Raw genomic sequence first — 18,907 nt, forward strand, 5'->3', positions numbered from 1 at the left:
TGGACATAGACTAGCTTCACACATACACTTAGATCCTCTTAACCAAATGCTAAGTACAGTATTTGCTTATAGAAGAGAACTCAGTGTGACCTTTATGTAGGAAAAGAACTAGGGCTGGCAACTGCATAGAAACAACACCCACTATTCTCTAGCACCTCACAGTTCTCAGGAGCCTCACATCCTTGTGAGAGGCGAGACTCTGCCAAATGGAATGGCCGAATTGGCTGTATTCAGATTCTCTGAACATCCCCTTCCAAGGAGGGCAATATACTCCCATCAACCACTCCTACCACTCGTTCATTCTGTCTCCCAACTCTCCCTTTCTTCTGGTTCAGAAACATCCCTTCGATACTTTAATCCCGGAGCGTGTACCGCTCTGTATCGCACAACTTCTCCATGGCCATTTCAGGAGGCAGCATGGCATAGAATTTGAATGCACAGATTCTAGAACTAGAATGCCCCTGTTGGAACTCTGGTTCCTTTCTTTACTATACATATAACCATGAGCAGTTTACTTAAGACCTCTGTGCCACACAGTTTTCCTTTGAGAAACGGGCCGTGTGAGAATTAAGTGACATGAAATGGGTACTTTGTTTAGAATAGTTCCTAACTCATAATCAATAAATGATAGTTACTATTACATATATTTTTCATATTGAGCCACTTCTGCTTCCTTGTCTCATACTCTGTTGTGGAGGTGCATCCTTGGTAGAAGTTAATCACAAGAGGCAGCACTCACCATCACCATGGGTGAGCTGTCAAAAAAGAATAGTAATTGCTAATGATTATAACTAAAGAATAGATCAATTTTAGAGATCATTATAACAGAGAGTTAAAATCCATTTGATGTTATTAGACCTGTGAAGGAAGAAATAGAAATGAATGAATAAGAAAGAGCTCATAAAGAAAAAAACCAGCTGGGCGTGGTGGCTCACTCCTGTAATCCCAGCACTTTGGGAGGCTAAGGCGGGCGGATTGCCTGAGCTCAGGAATTCGAGACCAGCCTGAGTAACAAGGTGAAACCCTGTCTCTACTAAACTACAAAAATTAGCCAGGTGTGGCAGCATGCACCTGTAGTTACAAAAACTCAGGAGACTGAGGGAGGAGAATTGCTTTAACCCAGGAGGTGGAGGTTGCAGTGAGCCGAGATCACACCACAGCCTGGGCGACAGAGCGAGACTCCGTCTCCAAAAAAAAAAAAAAAAAGAAAAAAAAGAAAACTTGCACAAATGTGGAAAATGTGGAGCACTCTTTCAATGTTCTTTGTAAACCTGAGAAGCATCTTAAAAAGCTCATCCTGTGCCCTGAGGCACACTTACATTTTCCATAATTTGAGACGAGAAGTTATTCCGTGTTTAAGAACTTTATGCCAACAGCCATCTTGGGAATCCTTCATAGCTAGCCTAAATCCTTTCCACCCATTCAGTCAATATCCTCTTGTTCTGACATTACTGGCAATGAAGACATCTGGCTGGACTTTTTAATAATTCGCCATTGTAGCTTTAGAGGCTTCTGATGTTTGCAATCACCAGCTTTTTCACCTCCATCTGGAATAAATCCAGTTTCTTTTACTTTTTTCCACAGGCTTTATCCTTATTAGCACTGCATCCCTCATTTTCTCTCCTGGGGGTCTTTGCATCCGTACTCAGTGAATGAGACCAAAGCACCAGGTAGGACATCTAAGCTGGGATTAGGAAGTTGAGAAGTGAAGCTCATTTTTAGAGTCTTCCAGCTACCTCACTTTCCGCTTCCTTGTATAGGTTGGCATTGAATATCAGGTCTCCAGTTGCCCAGAGCCCACCCTCCTCCCAGTAGCTGTGGCTCTCCCATCCAGTCACTCCCTTTGCCCTGTGCCCGTCATGCTCTAGACATTTTCTTTCTTCCATCCTCTCTCCCCTACTCTCCTTGTCAAGGCTGAGCTCTTCTGATGCTCAAGAAGAGCATCCATCGGATAAGCTAATTTACTGTAAGGTGTTACTAACTAATAATGTATCAATGTGTTAACCTCCAGGGGTATACAGGTTAGAAGTGCAAGCGCCTTTACCTGCAAGGAAGGAATCATAACAATCTCTTGCATGATAGCACATGCATTGTCCTAAAGAAGATGCCCCAACCTTCCCAAGAAGAATTGATAACTCTGTCCTTTGTGTCACCTACTACCCATGGCTTCCTGCCTCCTAGTGCTTCTCTCTCATAAAACTTTATTACACAATACAGCAGCATGGCCAAGAGCACAAACATTGCAGCCAAACTATCCGGGTTGGCATCCTCTTTCTTACTTTTCCTAACTGTGTAACCTTAGGCAACTGAATTAACTTCTCTGGGCTTCAGTTTCTTCAACTGTGAAGTGAGCATCATCATATTATCCAACTCCAGGTTGTGAGAGGGTTGAATGACTTCACATAAAGTGCATATCCTTTACCCTGGGACATAAAGGACTCTACAGGCAATCTAGGTTGTCATGTCTCTCTCCTCTGCTGCCCTGTGTTTTCTTCATCTTCATATCCCTAGAGCTCGGCAAAGTGCCTAACATGTAAAAGGTCTCAATACGTGTTTTTTGACAGCAAATGAATGAATTATAGAGAACTTAAGCTTACAGGATGGGTAGGATTTAAAACCAGAGAAACTTGGTGGAAGAACCTATTCAATGAATTGCTGGAAATTGACCAAAAGTAAAATAAAGGACCAAAGGAGCCCCAGAGATGAGAAGTGGAGTCTGCAAGATACCTCAGCTGGAAATGGGAGAGGTCATTTCCCCTCCCTAAGGGGGTCCATATGGAGAGCCAGCCTGAGGTCTCGATGATTGCTTGTAAAAAATTAAGGTTTATTAAGAAGATAATAAACGGTCTCTTGAGAACTAAATGGAAAATAATACGTTGGAGGATAATGAAATGCTTGATGGAACCGGTGGCTTGAGGCATACATAGCACATTATGTGAGCCCTTGGGAAACTGGCAGTAATGCCTCCACTTGGGAAAATCTATTTGCTCAGAGAAACCACGTTCTTAGGGAGGAGATTCTGGAGGCCAGAAAGGACCCAGCCAGCCCCAGGACCAAGTACCATGTGCTGGTGTTGAGAAAGTGCTGGTCTCTAGGGAGAAGAAGGCAGTTCACACACGCAGGTTGGTTTGTCCTTCCTCTATGGGCAGGGAGGCTCTCAAACTGGCAGCTGAGAGAGGAGAGATTGAGAGGCAGGGAGGGAGGTGGTTTAGGACTCAATAAATGTTGAACCGTTCATTCAACATGATTCTTTATGCATCTATAAATTCAGATCAATCCAATAAAATTCTACCAATGTCCTAGTTTAGTGCAAGGCACCAGAAAAATGATCAGAGGTGTGTTCACACGCCATCTTGGAAGCCCCACCAGGACCACCCCAGCCCTTCCTGCTGCCTGGCTTTCCCGAGCCACTTCGGGCAGATGTATCCCAGGTACATGTAGTTCTCGTGTTGATATGGGCTGTGCATCAGGCTCCTTCCCTCAACAGATGGCAGGCTCCCTGGGGCAGCGTCTGAGTCTCAGGCTTCTCTTATATCCACCACTTGCCGGCTTTACCTGCCAGGTGTCTACACTGAGCTGGGTCCTAATAAGGCCTTGTTGATTGAGTGGTATGTGGCACAATCCCTGCTCAGGAAGCAGTCAGAGGTTACTGTCAGCCAGCATCCTAATAGAGCCCAATTAAGTGTTAAAGTGGAAGTGTTAAGGGAGTGAGGTGTGTAGGGGAGGAGCTGAGTTAAAACCAGGAAAAGAGATTTAATGGGAAGGCTTATTGAGGAGGTAGAACCCGAGGGATTCAATTCACGGTGTTGGACTGCATATATAAGGGAATAAAGCAGGATGCAAAACTGTGCATACAACAGTGTCCCAGTCCTACACAATCACAGACAGAGAGAGAGAGAGAATATTTCTAGAAGAAAATACACCAAAATACAGTATTAATAACAGTTACCTGTGGATTCTGAGATCGTGGGGCAATCTGAGATTTCTTCTATGTGTACTTTTATTTCCCAAATGCTCTGCAACAAACATACAGCCCTCTTTTAACAATAAAGCCAACTAGGAGGTGAAAAAGTAGAGACAGTGAGGGCAGCCTATTTTGTCAGGAGCTCACCTAACACTGGAAGATGAGAAAGCTGAGACCAGAGGGGCACAGAGGATCCTGAGCAGATTTCTTTAGCCCCTTTGGGATTGAAGAAGGAGAAATGGAGGTGGGTTTGTAGGTTATAGGGAAGGTGCTGCCAGCAAGGAAGAGTCTGAAAGTGCAGCAGACACCAGATGGAGCAAGACCTTAGCCTGGGAGGGGACCCGAGAGGAGGGGAAGGGCCAGGGCACAGTTGGAAAGCCAGCTTTGCTCACGGCAAGTGTCACCTGTTCCCCAAATGCAGATGGAGATACATTGGTGGACACGTGCAGGGCGTGAGCTCTAGCCAACAGATATACGTTTTATGCTCCTCTCCCAGTGAACTTTGTGACGGCCCTAATGGGAAGCGTCTGTCTGTCGCCATGTTCTGCCCATGCCTGGTGTTTATGGCATCCCTGACTCACCAGGGCAGAAAATGAGGAAGCAGTCCAAAGGTCACTGGGTAGGAGAGGAGAGGGAAACACCTCAGGAAGGAGGCGGGTTCCAAGCTTGACGGTTGGTGCCCCAGGCAGAAAGGGGACAGGGTGATCTGGGAACAGAGACAAGCCCCACAGAGCAGGCAGAGAGAAGACGATGGAGGGCAAAACCTGAGTGCTGCCAACCCGGGGTGGCTTGAGGGGCAACTGAACTTCCCCCCAAGTCCACTATGTCCTCCACCAGCTCTTGCAATACTGAAACTTCCACCATTGACAGAAGGCACAGAAGCTCCTGCTAAAATGCAGGTGATGTCTGAGAGGCAGGGAAGACACACTAAGTGACTTTCTCTAAGTCACTTTAACCTGTGGAGTAATCCATCTCCCTAACTAGCTAGTGCCCCTTATCTATCAAACCCAGGAAAGGAATGTGAGACAGGAACATTTTGAGAGAAGCAAGTGAGATTAGGAACACAGAGGTTGGAGACAAGCAGGGGCAGCCTGGAGGAGGAAGAAAAGCAGGAAAGGCAGGATAGGAAATGGTGAAGCCAGTCAGCCTGCTGCTAGGGGAGGTTCAGAAGGGTCGGCACCCATTCACTAACACCTATCCAGCAAACGGCTGCTGGGTGCCTGTGTCCTGGGCACTATGCCAGACTCTGGGGATACAACGTGGGGCAGGGACAGATGCAGTTGCTGCTCTCACGGCGTTCACTGTTCCAGGGAAGTCAGATGGTAATAAATAAATAATCATAGAAATAAATGTAAAACCACCATAGTAACGAGTGTCATGCATATGATGGGAGGATATAACAGAGAGGGTGCCCTGAGGAAGGGCCTTTTGAGCTGAGATTGAAATATAAGCAGGAGTGAACCTTGAGAAAATAGGAGAAGAGATGTGAGGGAAGGGCATCATGCAGAGGTCAGGGGGTGGCAGAAGGCGAGGCATGTTCCAGAAACTAACACAAACCAGTGTGTAGCTATGGCACCAGGGAGGTTTCTTGGGGGTGTATGATTCCCCATATGATATCCTTTAGCCTCCCACTGTCAATCCAAATAAACTTGTCCAAATACAGGACAAGTAAAAACAGCATCCTTGTCTCATCCAAGTAGTTGAGGACAAATCCTGCTATCCACCCTTTCAGCCAGATTGCCTGCCCCCACCAAGATCCTCTTACAAGCAACTCAAATCACACCATACATGGCCAGTGCAGCCAGAAATGTGGGCTGGGCCTGGCGCTTATCGGCCATGACAACGATTTGAGTCTTTATCCTAATAGTCATGGGAAGTTATGGAAGGGCTTTAAGCAGAGGTGGTGACATGGTCATGATTTTATTTTACAAGATCATTCTGGCTCCAGGGTGGACAGCAGTTAGGAGAAGGGCAAACAGGCTCAGGAGACAAGTGAGGCAGCTGTGGCAGTAGCTTAGGAGAGGCAGTGTGGAGCATGAGGTGGCAGAGGAAATGGAGAAAAACGGGCAGATTGAAGAAATGCTGGAGAGCTAAAATCATCACACAAAGTGATGATCTGAATTTGTAGGTGGGGGATAAAGAGATCAAGGGTGATGTGGCGGTTTTAAAATGTGGTCCCCAAATTCTTTTAAACTGCTCTCAACAAAAGGTGTTCTTATTCTCTCCTTTGAGTTGGGTTCTGTGACTGCTTCTCAATAGACTATGGCAGAAGTGATGCTGGGTCAGTTTCTGGGCTTTGCCCTAAGAAACTAGCAGCTTTAACTTCTTGTCTCTTTAGATGTTTACTCTTGAATCCAGCCATCATGTTATGAGGAGGCACAAGCTTGTCTGTGGAGAGGCCCCTGGAGAGAGGAATTAGACTATATACCAGCTTGTTAGCCAGTGAGTGCACCACCTTGGAAGTGGGTCTTCCAATGCCGGTTAAGCCAACCCAGCATAAAGCATAAAGCAAAGACAAGCTGTCCCTGCCAAACACCATCCAAATTGCTAATTTAAGAGGAAAATAAATGATTATTATTGTTTTAAGTCACTAAATGTTGGAGTGGTTTATTACACAGCAATAGAAAATGTAACAGATGACTGCTAGGTTTCTGGCTTTCATTCCTGAATGGACAGTTTGTCATTTATTGAGAGAGAGCTCACTGGGAAAGACCCAGGTTTGGGGAAAAAGATCATGAGTTTTGTTTTCAGTTTGAGAGTTTTCAGTGTTCCACAAATCTAAGTTGAGAAGTCATGTGGGCTGTTGGACTTGTGAGACAATAGCTCAGGAGAGATGTTGGGTTTGAAGACAGAAATTTATAAGTCAGCTGGGAATGGGTGGCAACTAAAGCTTTGGAGGTGGAGGTGGATGTAGAGTGACAATAGGAGAGCCTGGGACTGAGGGTGAGGGACTCTGACATTTCATGGCAGGACAGAGGAGAATGAGGCTGCTAAGGAGACATGGAAACATCAAGGCCAGAGATGTAGGAGGAGAACAAGGAGAGGAAGTCTCATGGGAACCAACAGGACAGAGTGTTTCAGAAATGCGGGAGAGATTAGCCAGGTCAAACACTGCCAGGATTACAAGTACATGCTGGGCCAGGCACACTTTCCCCAGGCTTCCTGGTGACCAGCATCACAATAGGCAGCATGGTTGTATTACCAAAAAGCCCTGAGAGGGGACTCTGGTGGGCAAAGGCAAGATGAGGATCACACCTGTGCCCATGAACCAATTCTTCCCTATGGCCTTGCTTCTCAGACTCTGGTCCCTGGACCAGGAGTATCATCCCCTGGGAGCTCATTAGAAATGCAGAATCTCAGGCCCTACCCTGGACATACCGAATCATCTGCATTTTAACAAGATCCCCAGATGACTTGTATGCACACTAATGTGGGAGAATGCATACCATTGAGCCCCCTAAATTGAGGGAATTGGACAGTAACCGGAGAAGCAGCTGGATGATGCAAAACTGAGCTAAAAGTCACATGCAGTGTATTAGAGGCAACTGTTCATTAAACCAACTTTTCCTTAAGTTCCAATTCGTCTCTACACCTAGACTGCACATCAGAATCACCTGAGTAACTTTTCAAAAACCAGAGAGAAACCCAGATCCTTCCCCTCTGGATTCTGACTCAGAAGGTATGGGGGAGACTGGGCATCTGTATTTTCACTTCCCAGGTGACTCTGATGGGCAACCAGGGTTGAGAGCCACTGGCCTAAACTATTAGTCTTCCTCTTTTGAACACCTAACCTTCTTAGACCGACCATTCATAACATCTTTTCTCCATTGAGGCTGGGACTGAGACTAGAGTAGGACATTTTAATCCTGATTGCGTCTCTGACAGGGAGGCAATGTGATTCATTCCAGGTGCATGAGCTCTTCCTACAAGCACTGGCTTCTGACTTGTGCTCAGGTGCCAGCAGGTGGGGCCCAGGCCCCAGCGGGGAGCCAGGCTAATTTAGGATTGGAATGGCAACAGGACCCAGGGCCACAGAGCAGATGGTGGGCGGGCCGCTTATCTTGCAGTTGCATTTGCGGGCTGACACCACCCCGGCTCTGGCCCAAATACTACCCTCTTGAGGTCCAGGGTCTCATCAGAAGTGCACATCTGAGGCTAAGCCCCTAAACCACATATCTTAGGCTAGGCCACTGCACAGAGCTTAGACATGTGACACTGGGCTCAGATAGGCCATCGTGATAGGGCAGACCCCAGGGACCAACCCACACCTGTGTGATCCACACGAACATGGCACTTCAGAGCAGACAAGTGTAGGGCACCACATTTAGGAAAAATCTTCCTGCTGGGATTGTGCCTCTAACAAAGATGCCAGGGAAGGGTTCTAAAATGGCACAATCAGCCTCAAAATGTCAGCAACTTGCAAACTTGGTTCCCTTCAAAAACTCTTCATGGATCAAGCACCTGTGGGTTTTCTGAAACTTTTTTATATGGGGGGAGAAAAAACATTTTTTTCTAGAGAGAAGAAAGCTTTTACACCTTTCCCAGGTTAAAGTTCTCCTGAGTTTTTCTCATTTAACTTAGAAAAACAAGGAAGCTTCCTCTCATTCTAGGAAGGTGGGGTGTGTAAGTAAGTGTGTGTGTGTGTGTGAGAGATTGGGTCTTCAAAGGTTTCACTGGCTCTGAGCAGAGCTGTTCAGTGACTTTTGTCTCCTGGAGCTTGCCTCTTTATGCATCCCTTTTCATGCAGCGGCACATTGCAGCACATCAAATCTTTCATGAAGTCTGGTGGCTGAAAAAAAATCCTGGAATGGAAGTGCCTTGATTTTGTGCACACATTGGAGCATTTTCTCTAACAGCCTTGTGGAGGGGGCAGCGCATGGCGGCTTTTTTGGTGATAACTTAGGGTTCATCCACAGTGACCTCTGACTCCCTTTCTTGGCACGTGTCTGCCATCTCAGAGCTCTCGGATAATTGGTCACCAAAGTCTACTAATTTTCTGTAACTTACATTCCCCCACAGTAATAATAATAACTGCACTCATAACTGGCATTTATTGAGTTGTTATTATGTGTCAAGTCCTCTTCTAAGATTTTTACATGTGCAAACTCATTTAGTACCTATAATAGCCCTGTTGGGGCACAGTGTGAATTTTACACCCCTCCATTTCAGACTAGAAGACTGTGCAAGAAGACTTTAGCAAAGTGAAGCCATTTGCCCACACCATAGTCAGTTAAGAGGCACTGGGGTCAGCCCCCTTTGGTCCCCTGGGATGGCAGTGGAGTGTTAGGAGGGACGGGTGGAACATTTCCCAGGCATGGAGGTCTGTTTTGTCACTGACTCTGTTTAGAATTGTCAGCACATGATAATCATAAAAAGCAGACCAACGGTGGCTCACACCTGTAATCCCAGCACTTTGGGAGGCTGAGGCGGGCTTATTGCGAGGTCAAGAGTTCAAGACCAGTCTGGCCAGCATGGTGAAACCCTGTCTCTACTAAAAATACAAAAAATTAGCTGGGCATGGTGGTGCATGCCTGTAATCCCAGCTACTAGGGAGGCTGAGGCAGGAGAATTTCTTGAACCTGGGAGGCGGAGGTTGCAGTGAGCTGAGATCACACCACTGCACTCCAGCCTGAGCAAGCCAGACTCTGTCTCACACACACACACACACACACAAAGCAGACCAACTTTTAGTCGGTTTTATGATTGCTTTTAAACTCCCTACTTTAAAAGCACGGCCTTGCGTTTGTGCCCCCTGCATGGAACCTTATGAATAGCTTCTGCTTCCTCCAACACCACTTGAGTCTTGAGGCCCATTCATCAGTGCAGTGCTTCCCTGCCCAGGTCTTAGCAGAATCAATTCCTCGGAAAGGTCAGATGGGAAGAGAAAGAAGAGAAAAGCCCAGTAAGTCCTCTGGAACCCAAGTCAAGCTCCACCTCCTCCAGGAAGCCTTTCCTAATGTCCCTGCTCCTAACTGGGTCTCCCTTACCTGCGCAAAGGAAGAGGTGGTATCCTCTCATGAGGCATGGTGGGGAGGGCCGCCTGGTTGCTTTTGGTCGACCTTTGAAGGTCTTCCTTGCTCACCTGCAGTGGCAATGGCTATTTCACTATTTGGTAAACTCTGTTTATATACCTCAAGTCGACCACCAAGCCTGGCTTCTCCTGCCCCACTGCTCTGGCCCCTTCTTCCTCTTAATGTAAGATATGGAGGAAGAAAAGTTGGTGGGCACGTGATTCTGTGCTGGGCAGGCTGTGGTGGGAGGGATGGGGCGGAGGTAGAAGACACTTCATCAGTGTGTCTGAAAACATGCCCAAGACTCGTTCTGCTGGGTGAGTTCCCCAGGGGTCACTTGCCTTCTCATAGGAAGAAGCAAAATGTCCTGCTCCAGGCAATTCAGAGTTACGGCCACTTTTCCCTCCAAGCTGGGTGAGCATCTTGTTTTAAGATCGTTTTTCTAAGCCAAAATTTCTTATTTTTATTCATGCATGGGTCGCAGCCAGTCTACAAGTGTGGGGATATGTGTTGGGGGTTGGGGTGGTGCAGGCATGGAGGAGCTTCTGGCTTACCAGGAGAAGATGGGAGAATCACTGGCCCAGCCAGGGAAGGATGGGTATTTCCTTCAGCCTCCCTCTCTCAGGCCCTGGAGCATCCTCCCTGCCTGAATCTGATGGCTGAGATAGGCCCACTTATGACTAATCATTCCAGACTCCTCACTTCTATGGCACCTGCACAAACTATGTGCTCAGTAAAGAGTTGTTTGGATAAAGGAATGAGCCAACCAGTCCATCTTGGTGGATGATGAGGGGCTTTCTGCCTTCAGTCAGATGAACTTGAGCCAGCCTGAGAGAATGATCTTACCCAGATCTTCCTCCAAACCGTGTGATCCAGCCCTTCCCCAGCAGCAGGCTGCCCTTCCCTCGAGAGCCCCAAGGCCAGGTGTTGAGAGAAAAGCATGTCTAGGGCCTGGGAGAACCAGAATGAGCTGTAGGCCCCGTGGCCCGGGGCTTTCCTGTGTATGCTAAAAAGTGAGCTCTAAACCAGTCTCCTGGTTTCCACTTCCCCAGGCTTGGTGCTCCTGAGTTTCCTGGTATAGCTCTTCTCCTCCCCGTTGCAGCTGGATCCTGGAAGCCCTCAACAGTGTCTGAATTGCAAGGTGATGGCCAAATACACTAAACCAAAGATATTCCTAAACTTTGCCAAACCCTGCGTCTCTCAACTTCCTTCTCTCCATTCTATTTCCTTCCAATGCCCAGCAAAATGGTTGGTACCTTAATGCCAAGACTTTCATTCTAACCCTTAGACACTCCATAGGTCCCCACAGAACACTGTGCTATTAAGCACTTGATGTGGATTCAACCATATACTCATGAATGTCTGATTTTGTTCTGGGAGGTTTCCCTCCCAGAGGGAAATGCTCAGAGTCCCAGAATTTTCAATGACCAGGGTCCCAGAAGTGGCAAGGAGCTTTGGCCTTTGGAAAAGACCCATCTAGTTTGTTGTTTGTTTTTAGGGTTTGAATCTTCTCTTGCTCTGTGAATGATACGGGATAAGTTGCATTGTCTCTTCTGCCTCAGTTTCCTGTCTCTTTCTCTGGTTTTAACACAAACGTTAATATACTAGATAATGAACATATCTAGATCCACACATCCTGGATTTTCTAGGACAACTCCGATTTCAAATACTTTGTCCACATTGTCAAATCCTGTGTCTGATCCTATAATCTAATTTGGGATAAGAAAATATGGTCTTGAGAGTACTTTGAATTCTTCATTTCAGCAGTGGGCTAGAATGTTATTTACTAATATGTAAATAAAAACCATTCTGATTCTGGGCACTGGTCCGGAATGTGTAATTCTGGCCCAGCAGGAACGCAGCTGTGTTGCTGGAGGCCCTTCCTGGGAAGGCTCTGACAGAGCCTCTCCTTCAGCCCTAGGTCCCCATGTCTCACCCACCCCTGGGCACTGGAGAGAAAAGGGGCCTACTCACCTGCACAGAGTGTCCACAACACAGGCCACATCTTCCCCACCATGGTCTTGCTTCTTCTCTGCCCTAAACCTAACCTGTCACTGGCAGCCTCCAGACAGGTCTGAGCTGTCTGGTTAAAGCTACAGCAGCTTCTGGCCTGGCCCAACTGGAGGTCCCTGCAATTTTCCCTCTTCTCACCCACCTCTGCCCAGCCTCAGCTGGATTGGCAGGTGAGCTCCTCAGCTGGATTGGCAGGTGAGCTGGGGCTGGGCTCATGTGTCACCTACTCCAAAGGTCCCAAGAGGAGTCTTCCCTACTTCCCTCAAGTTCCCCTTAAACCAGCCACCTCCCCTGCCTTCTCCCTACTTAACAAGTGTACAAAGTCCTAGACTGCTCACAAAGGGGTAGGCCTCTCTTATAACTGACAGGAAATAAATAATAAAAAGGGAAATGCACTCAGAGGTAGGGTTCCAAGCTAGTAAAAGAAGGGTGTTGCCCATATTTGCTGAAACACTTCAAGACACAATGTGATCTGTTTCTCTACTTCTCTCCTCTTCTACAGCCTCCACCCCACAGTGCGCAAGAGATATAGTCATGAAGAAAACAGGAAGTCTCCCCCTTCAGAGTTTATATTCTGACTGGGAAAGTAGCAAGTTCATAAGTGAAAGAAGATCATCTTGGGGACATGTGACCAACTTGTCTCACTTTTCCTAGGACTGTCCTGGTTTTCAAACCAAAAGGAACCCCCTCAGTCCCAAGCAAATTTGGATGATGGTCACCCTACTGAAAGAATGATCAGTGGTGTGGGACCATAATTCTCCAGGAGCAGTGGCTGTTGCTGGTTTCTTCCATAGATATTTTAGATATATATACACTGTTCTGCAATGATTTATTCATTTTTCATTTAATGAAAGGTTTTAGAAAGCTTTCTGTATCGGTATGTATAGCACCACCACCATCATCTTTTTAAAATGGGGATGATATTTCACTGTATATGAGTGACATGATTTATTTAACCAAACTACTTTTAAGATTGTTTTTCCTCATCTTTCACAACTATGAAAAGATTGCAACCAATATCTATTATGTGTACGATATTTCACACGTGTTGTGATTATACATGTAAGATAAATTCTTAAAAGTAAAATTTCTGACTCACTGAAAGTTATGCATATTTGTAATTTTTATAGATATTGCTAAACTAGCTACCATGAGAATTTTACAGCCTACACTCCTATTAGCAGCATATAAGGATACCTATCTCCCCACACACTCACTAACACAGTTACCAAGTGTTTATGACACAGTTATCAAACTTTCTGCTCATCGCCAATCTAAGTGAACATGATATCCCATGTATATATAATTTACTTTTTAAAATTATTAGTGAAATTTGGCCAGGCGCGGTGGCTCACGCCTGTAATCACAGCACTTTGAGAGGCCAAGGTGGGCTGATCACGAGGTCAAGAGATCGAGGCCATCCTGGCTAACACGGTGAAACCCCGCCTCTACTAAAAATACAAAACATTAGCCAGGTGTGGTGGTGTGCGCCTGTAATCCCAGCTACTTGGGAGGCTGAGGCAGGAGAATGGTGAACTCGGGAGGCAGAGCTTGCAGTGAGCCAAGATGGTGCCACTGCACTCCAGCCTGGGCGACAGAGCAAGACTCTGTCTCAAAAAAAAAAATTATTAGTGAAATTGAAAATCTTTTAATATAGTTGCACATCATATATATTTTCTTTTCTGAGACTAGGTAGCTCATTTGCCCGTATTTCTTTTTTTAATAAATTTTTAAAAATATAGACACAGAATCTCGCTACGTTGACCAGGCTGGTCTTGAATTCCTGGGCTCAAGCAATCCTGCCTCAGTCTCCCAAAATGCTGGGATTACAGGCATGAGCCACCACGTCCAGCCGTTTGGCCATATTTCTATTGAGCTGTTGATCTTTAGCTTGTTGACTTCTAGCAGATCTTTGTATATTAGGGAAAGGAACTTTTGGATGTGATAAGCATTGCAAATATTTCCCCTAGCATTTCTTTGTGTTATGAATTCATAGTATCCTACATGACTTATTGTTATTAATCCTTTTGACTGCTAGGTTTGGTTGACATACAAAATTTGTTGTTTTCTGTTTATTACATTTCACTCAGGCACCTTGTTAATTCTCTTATTATATGTAATAATTGTTCAGCCCCAACATTTTATAATATCTTTGCCAAATTAGTCTTCCTAATTACTTGTCTGCTTGGGTCCTATCACTGACTCTGCAGAACCTAACAAATTAGCTTTTAAGGTATTCTAGCATTTGTTCTCAAACACAGTCTACCTTCCAGAATACGTAATTTATGCTCTGACCAAGTTAGACATATTTTCATACCCAGAACTCATACTTCCTTACCCCCAAAACTTTATTGATGCCACCCCCTCGGTAATTCCCTTCCCCTACTATATCTGCTATTATAATCTTACTTGTCCTTTAGAAGTCAGCTCATATATCACCACTGCTTCTATGAAGTCTTTCCTGATTTCTTCAGTCAGAAGGGCTCTTTCTCACCTTTGAACTCACACAGCACTCTGGATCTCTTTTAGGACACTAACTACATTCTCTCTTATGCTTGAGTTATTTTTGGTCTGTGTCTCATTCCTCCTAATAAACAGTGAGCTCATTCATTCAGCCATTTCTAATGATACGATATACCAGGCATCATTCCACCTAACTAGGAAGAAAGACAACTTTAAGCTATGTGTTTTGCCAATTTTGGTCAAGTAAAGTGTCATATGTAGTAGGTAATCAATGAATATTTTAAGTTGGTAAATGGATGGATAAATGGATGAAAGGATGACTATGGTATGTGTGGGATGAGAGGTGTGGGCTATTTGGCTTTGCTTTGATCATTGTGATGGTAGAGGGGTTAGTAGGGTAAGACAGCTTATTTGACATTTATGAAGCTCATGGAATTCTTAAGTCACCCAGGGTTGCCAATCCATTATCACCTTGGGGTGTGAGTAGAGGGGAGGAAATGTGGAGGGTGAGCACAACTGTCCAGTTGACCATCCTGAGACATGTCTATTAAAAGAAATGCAGGCAGGGCACGGTGGCTCACACCTGTAATCCCAGCACTTTGGTGGACGGAGGTGGATGGATCACTTCAGCCCAGGAGCTCGAGACCAGCCTGGGCAACACAGTGAGACCCCATCTCTACAAAAAATTTAAAAATTATCTGGGTGTGGTGGCATGTGCCTGTACTCCCAGCTACTCAGGAGGCTGAGGTGGGAGAATCACCTGACCCTGAGAGGTTGAGGCCGCAGTGAGCTGTGATGGCACCACTGCACTTTCACCAGGGCAACAGAGCGAGACCCTGTCTAAAAAAAAAGAAAAAGAAATGTAATCCTGGTCACAAGCAATGACTACTCTTTAATTGTACCACAGTGCTCTCCCAATATCTATCTGTTGAGTACCCTTTCCATTCTATATATCTGGTCCTTTTTTTAGGCCTCTCTAGTTGACATGCGGCTGTGGTAAGTTTGTTTATTCTTCTATATCTTTGGATTTAGACTCTCTTCTGGAAGAACTTTGAATAGGCTGTCCCAGGCAAGAGGGTCTGAAGAGAGAACCCAGAGAAAAGCTGTTCTTTAGATTCTCCATCTACCAAGCACAAACGTCTTCCAATTCTGCTGCTAAATGTAAGCGTCTGGAGAATCAGCCAGGAGGGAAAGAGTTAAGTGAGGACTGCTTTGGGGCCTGGGTCCAGAGCCTGCATTCCTTCCTCCCAGAAATCTGCCAGCCTATGGGGCCAGAGGCTAAATTTAGAGGGTGGCTAAGGTTTCCTGTTAACAGCTGTCCTGCCCCTAGGAGAAGAAGCCCTGAGGAAGGAGGTGGCTGGTTCCTGTCTCACTGGCCGGAGCTTCAGCTTCAGTCATTTCATCTGGGTCCCTCAGCCCTTGGTGGGGAACATCCAGGCAGGTTAGAGGTGAGTGTGCTTCTCCCCTTGTCAATCCTGGTGAGCCCAGGACTTACAATACAAGGGGCAGCGGCTTTGCCCTGAGTGTCAGGGCACAACCATGATGGCTGGGACCAGCTGCTGGTATCCTTCATGTCCTTTAATAGGCTCCAGGATGACGCCTGAGCCAAAGGCCCTACCTCCTGTGGCCTTGGTTAGAGACACCGAAGGCCAGCTGTGTCTTCCCCAGCAGAGACAAAGGTGTGCGCATGGGCATAGGTGAGGGGCGTGTGTGTATGCACATCCTATAATTTCAACTGAAAAATCTTGCTGGTCCAGGGAAGTCATTGTTCTTCAACTTTTTGAGCTGAGATCAGGTAACCTGCTGGCTCCTCTGCCTGCTCCCTTGCTGACATCTGTGGAAGGAGCCACACTGGCACTTCAATATTGTCACTTCAAGGTGGGCTCCTAATATGGCGGGGTGCACTTCTTGGTGTCCCGGTAACAGTGGCTGGGCCAGGTCTGACTGGATATTCCTTGCTGGTCTTTTGCCCACCGGGACCTTCCTAGTCCTAGTTCCACTGAGGTGACATCACCAACACAACTTCTCCCCCAACAAAACCTCAGGAACCTAATTCCCTAACTGCCTTTTTCTTGCCAAACTTTCAGAGGTTGGCAGGTTGTCATGGCGACCAGAAAGGACACAGAGGAGGAGCAGGTAGTCCCAAGCGAGGAGGACGAAGCCAACGTGAGGGCGGTGCAGGCCCACTACCTCCGAAGCCCCTCCCCTAGCCAGTAAGTGACCACTTATCTCCCACCCTCACAGCCCCAGCTGGGAGGGGCTGGGGACAGGTTGGGCCATTAGCTCCAGGGAGCCTGCAGCCATCACCTCGGTTCACTCATTTAACAAATATTATTGAGTACTTGTATGTGTCCTACTTTCTGGAGGAGGTAAATATGCAAATAGACTGATTGCAATGTGGCAGGTGTGTGCTAGATATTAATATGACCAGGATCTAGTATGTGGTGGACTAGACAATAGGGAAGGGAACAACTGGACTTGGAAGGTCATAGGAGGCTTGGCTGGAAGAGATGATGATGGACCCGAACCTCAGAGGATGAGTAGGAATTTGGCCCTGCTTGATTCAGTAGGACTGGGGCTGGATATGGGGATGACAGGCCGTAGACTATAAGAAAAGGGATGAGGAGAGGAGAAGCCCATGGAAGCATTCCCTAGCACTAAAATAATTTTTTATCCATAATCAAGCTGTGTCTTTTAAACTGGGACATGTGCATGCCTGGGGCAAGTGGCAAGATGCCAAGAGGCATGAGGCATCTTCCTGGAGAGTCCTCTTTTTACCACAAGTAATTTGAAACTTTCTTTTACATTAAAATCATCGACGTTATGTTATCATGTAGAATGAAAAAAATGTGCATAACATTTTAAGACAAACCACGAGACGTTAAAGAAATGTCGTGCTTAATTGCCTGCTAAAACAATACTGTGTGTGCCTGTCCATTTTCTTCTGTCATAAATCATAACAGGAGACCTGACTTTTAATCACATCTCTGTCACCAAATTGGTGTGAAGAATAACTGAAGTGATTGAGCCTTTAGTTGGAAGCGCCTAACTAAAACATCTGAAATTAACTTCCCCTCTAAGAATTTATCATTCTGCTTGATTTCACTTTTCTCTGATGCTCTTGGGATCTTGCTGGCTCCTGCTTCCTGTGTCAAAAGGCTTCCCCAGTGGAGTAAGACAGGAATGAGGGCAGGTGCTCAGCACTCATGGGCCAGGGCACTTCGCCCAAATGGAGCTTAGAGACTTCTCCTTTAAAATTCAGCATTATGTTGGGAGGCCGAGGTGGGAGGATCATGAGGTCAGGAGATCAAGCCCAGCCTGGCCAATATAGTGAAACCCCATCTCTACTAAAAATACAAAACTTAGCCAGGTGTGGTGGTAGGTGCCTGTAATCTCAGCTACTCAGGAGGCTGAAGCAGGAGAATCACTTGAACCCGGGAGGCGGAGGTTTCAGTGAGCCGAGATCGCGCCACTGAACTTCAGCCTGGGCGACAGAGCGAGACTCCATCTCAAAAAAAAAGAAAAGAAAATTCAGCATTATGGTCCCACTTAGGAAAACTCTCAGGATTGAGAGATTTAACATAGGTCCTCCTCTCTTGTATACCCCCGAATAAGGCAGAGGTCGCTTCGTGTGTGGTTGGGATAGGTGACAGTTTCGTGTATTGCTAAGAGTAATGCTAGCTATTATATCTAAAGGACATTTCTTTCTTGCTCAAATAAGTTCCAAAACAGGTACCTGAGCAGTGATTCAAGAACTAAGACTCCTTCTGTCTTGAAGGTTCACCACTTTAAAGCATGGCTTCTAAAGTCACAATGCTCATCAGTATTAACATAAAATGGAGACAAGCACGGATAATTTCCCAGGAGGTTTTATGGTCCAGATGTGAAAATGGTCACTTCATTTTCACTCATATTCTATCGTCTAGAACTCAGCAAGGTCATGCTTTCTTGCAAAGAAGGATGGGAAATAAGGCCCATGAGCCCAAGAAAAAGAGGAAATCAGTGTGTCGATAATAGCAGTCTCAGCCACAATGTACTCCTCTAGTCAGTCAATCCATGTTATCTTTTTTTTCCCCACCTATAGAACATGTTTACTGCCTCCTAAGTGAGGCAACTCAAAATCCCACTTACCAACTGCTGCATATGTAGTTCCAGGCTAGGTTCTCCAATGGGTGTGCATTCTGTCCCTCAGGCCTGAATGCAACACATTATGGTCGGATCAGGATAACTGCCAAAAACAGCTACCATTTTATAAAAGGAGGAAGAGGAAATACTGCTGTCATATCATTAATGAACATGTTGACCCAGGATGTGAGGAGTCCTCCTAGATTTGACCTTGATTTGTCTCTCTGAGAGAAATACCCTTGTCTATTGTTCTCTTTGACCTCTAGCTCTGCCCTCCTAGCTGTCTTGCTTGTCCATTATCCTCCATAGCCACGTTGAAGACATGTCTTCC

General features: G+C 46.0%; 2 protein-coding genes and 1 long non-coding RNA gene across 6 annotated transcripts in view, besides 2 other annotated features; 2 read left to right on the forward strand and 1 right to left on the reverse strand.

Moving 5' to 3' along the window:
- The window catches only part of GPA33 (glycoprotein A33), a 37,542-nt gene extending 25,460 nt beyond the window's left edge, over nucleotides 1-12,082 (reverse strand). Inside the window, exons 1-3 of one of the 3 annotated variants that reach the window (XM_047424480.1) lie at nucleotides 11,950-12,082; nucleotides 3,950-4,016; nucleotides 3,062-3,169 (exon numbers count right to left, since the gene is read on the reverse strand). Coding sequence is in view for 1 of the 3 variants with exons in the window: in NM_005814.3 (NP_005805.1) it covers nucleotides 11,950-11,992 (43 nt within the window). In the remaining 2 variants the exon portion in view is untranslated. The remainder of the gene's footprint in view (nucleotides 1-3,061; nucleotides 3,170-3,949; nucleotides 4,017-11,949) is intronic. The other 2 variants (XM_017000005.2, NM_005814.3) reach the window with 2 other exon arrangements.
- Nucleotides 7,993-8,492: an enhancer, noted in NCBI's record as "H3K4me1 hESC enhancer chr1:167055525-167056024 (GRCh37/hg19 assembly coordinates)". NCBI's record gives its function as "activates a minimal SCP1, AML or CMV promoter by ChIP-STARR-seq in naive H9 embryonic stem cells {active_cell/tissue: H9 hESC(naive)}" and the evidence as "EXISTENCE:reporter gene assay evidence [ECO:0000049][PMID:30033119]".
- LOC124904451 (uncharacterized) lies at nucleotides 10,305-13,086 on the forward strand. The gene is made up of 3 exons (XR_007066717.1): nucleotides 10,305-10,389; nucleotides 11,028-11,116; nucleotides 12,491-13,086. It is a non-coding gene; the product is annotated as an uncharacterized LOC124904451 (long non-coding RNA).
- Nucleotides 12,108-12,257: an enhancer, noted in NCBI's record as "active region_2034". NCBI's record gives its function as "activates an Ori minimal core promoter by ATAC-STARR-seq in GM12878 lymphoblastoid cells {active_cell/tissue: GM12878}" and the evidence as "EXISTENCE:reporter gene assay evidence [ECO:0000049][PMID:35858748]".
- Nucleotides 13,087-15,779: 2,693 nt separating the features above from the next.
- STYXL2 (serine/threonine/tyrosine interacting like 2) overlaps nucleotides 15,780-18,907 on the forward strand; it is a 35,091-nt gene continuing 31,963 nt past the window's right edge. Inside the window, exons 1-2 of one of the 2 annotated variants that reach the window (NM_001080426.3) lie at nucleotides 15,780-15,899; nucleotides 16,539-16,664. In NM_001080426.3, the coding sequence (NP_001073895.1) occupies nucleotides 16,555-16,664 (110 nt within the window). In that variant the 5' untranslated portion in view covers nucleotides 15,780-15,899; nucleotides 16,539-16,554. The remainder of the gene's footprint in view (nucleotides 15,900-16,538; nucleotides 16,665-18,907) is intronic. The other variant, XM_011510146.3, reaches the window with a different exon arrangement.

Source organism: Homo sapiens, chromosome 1 (genome assembly GCF_000001405.40).
Source record: "Homo sapiens chromosome 1, GRCh38.p14 Primary Assembly".
In the NCBI taxonomy this organism is placed as follows: Eukaryota; Metazoa; Chordata; class Mammalia; order Primates; family Hominidae; genus Homo; species Homo sapiens.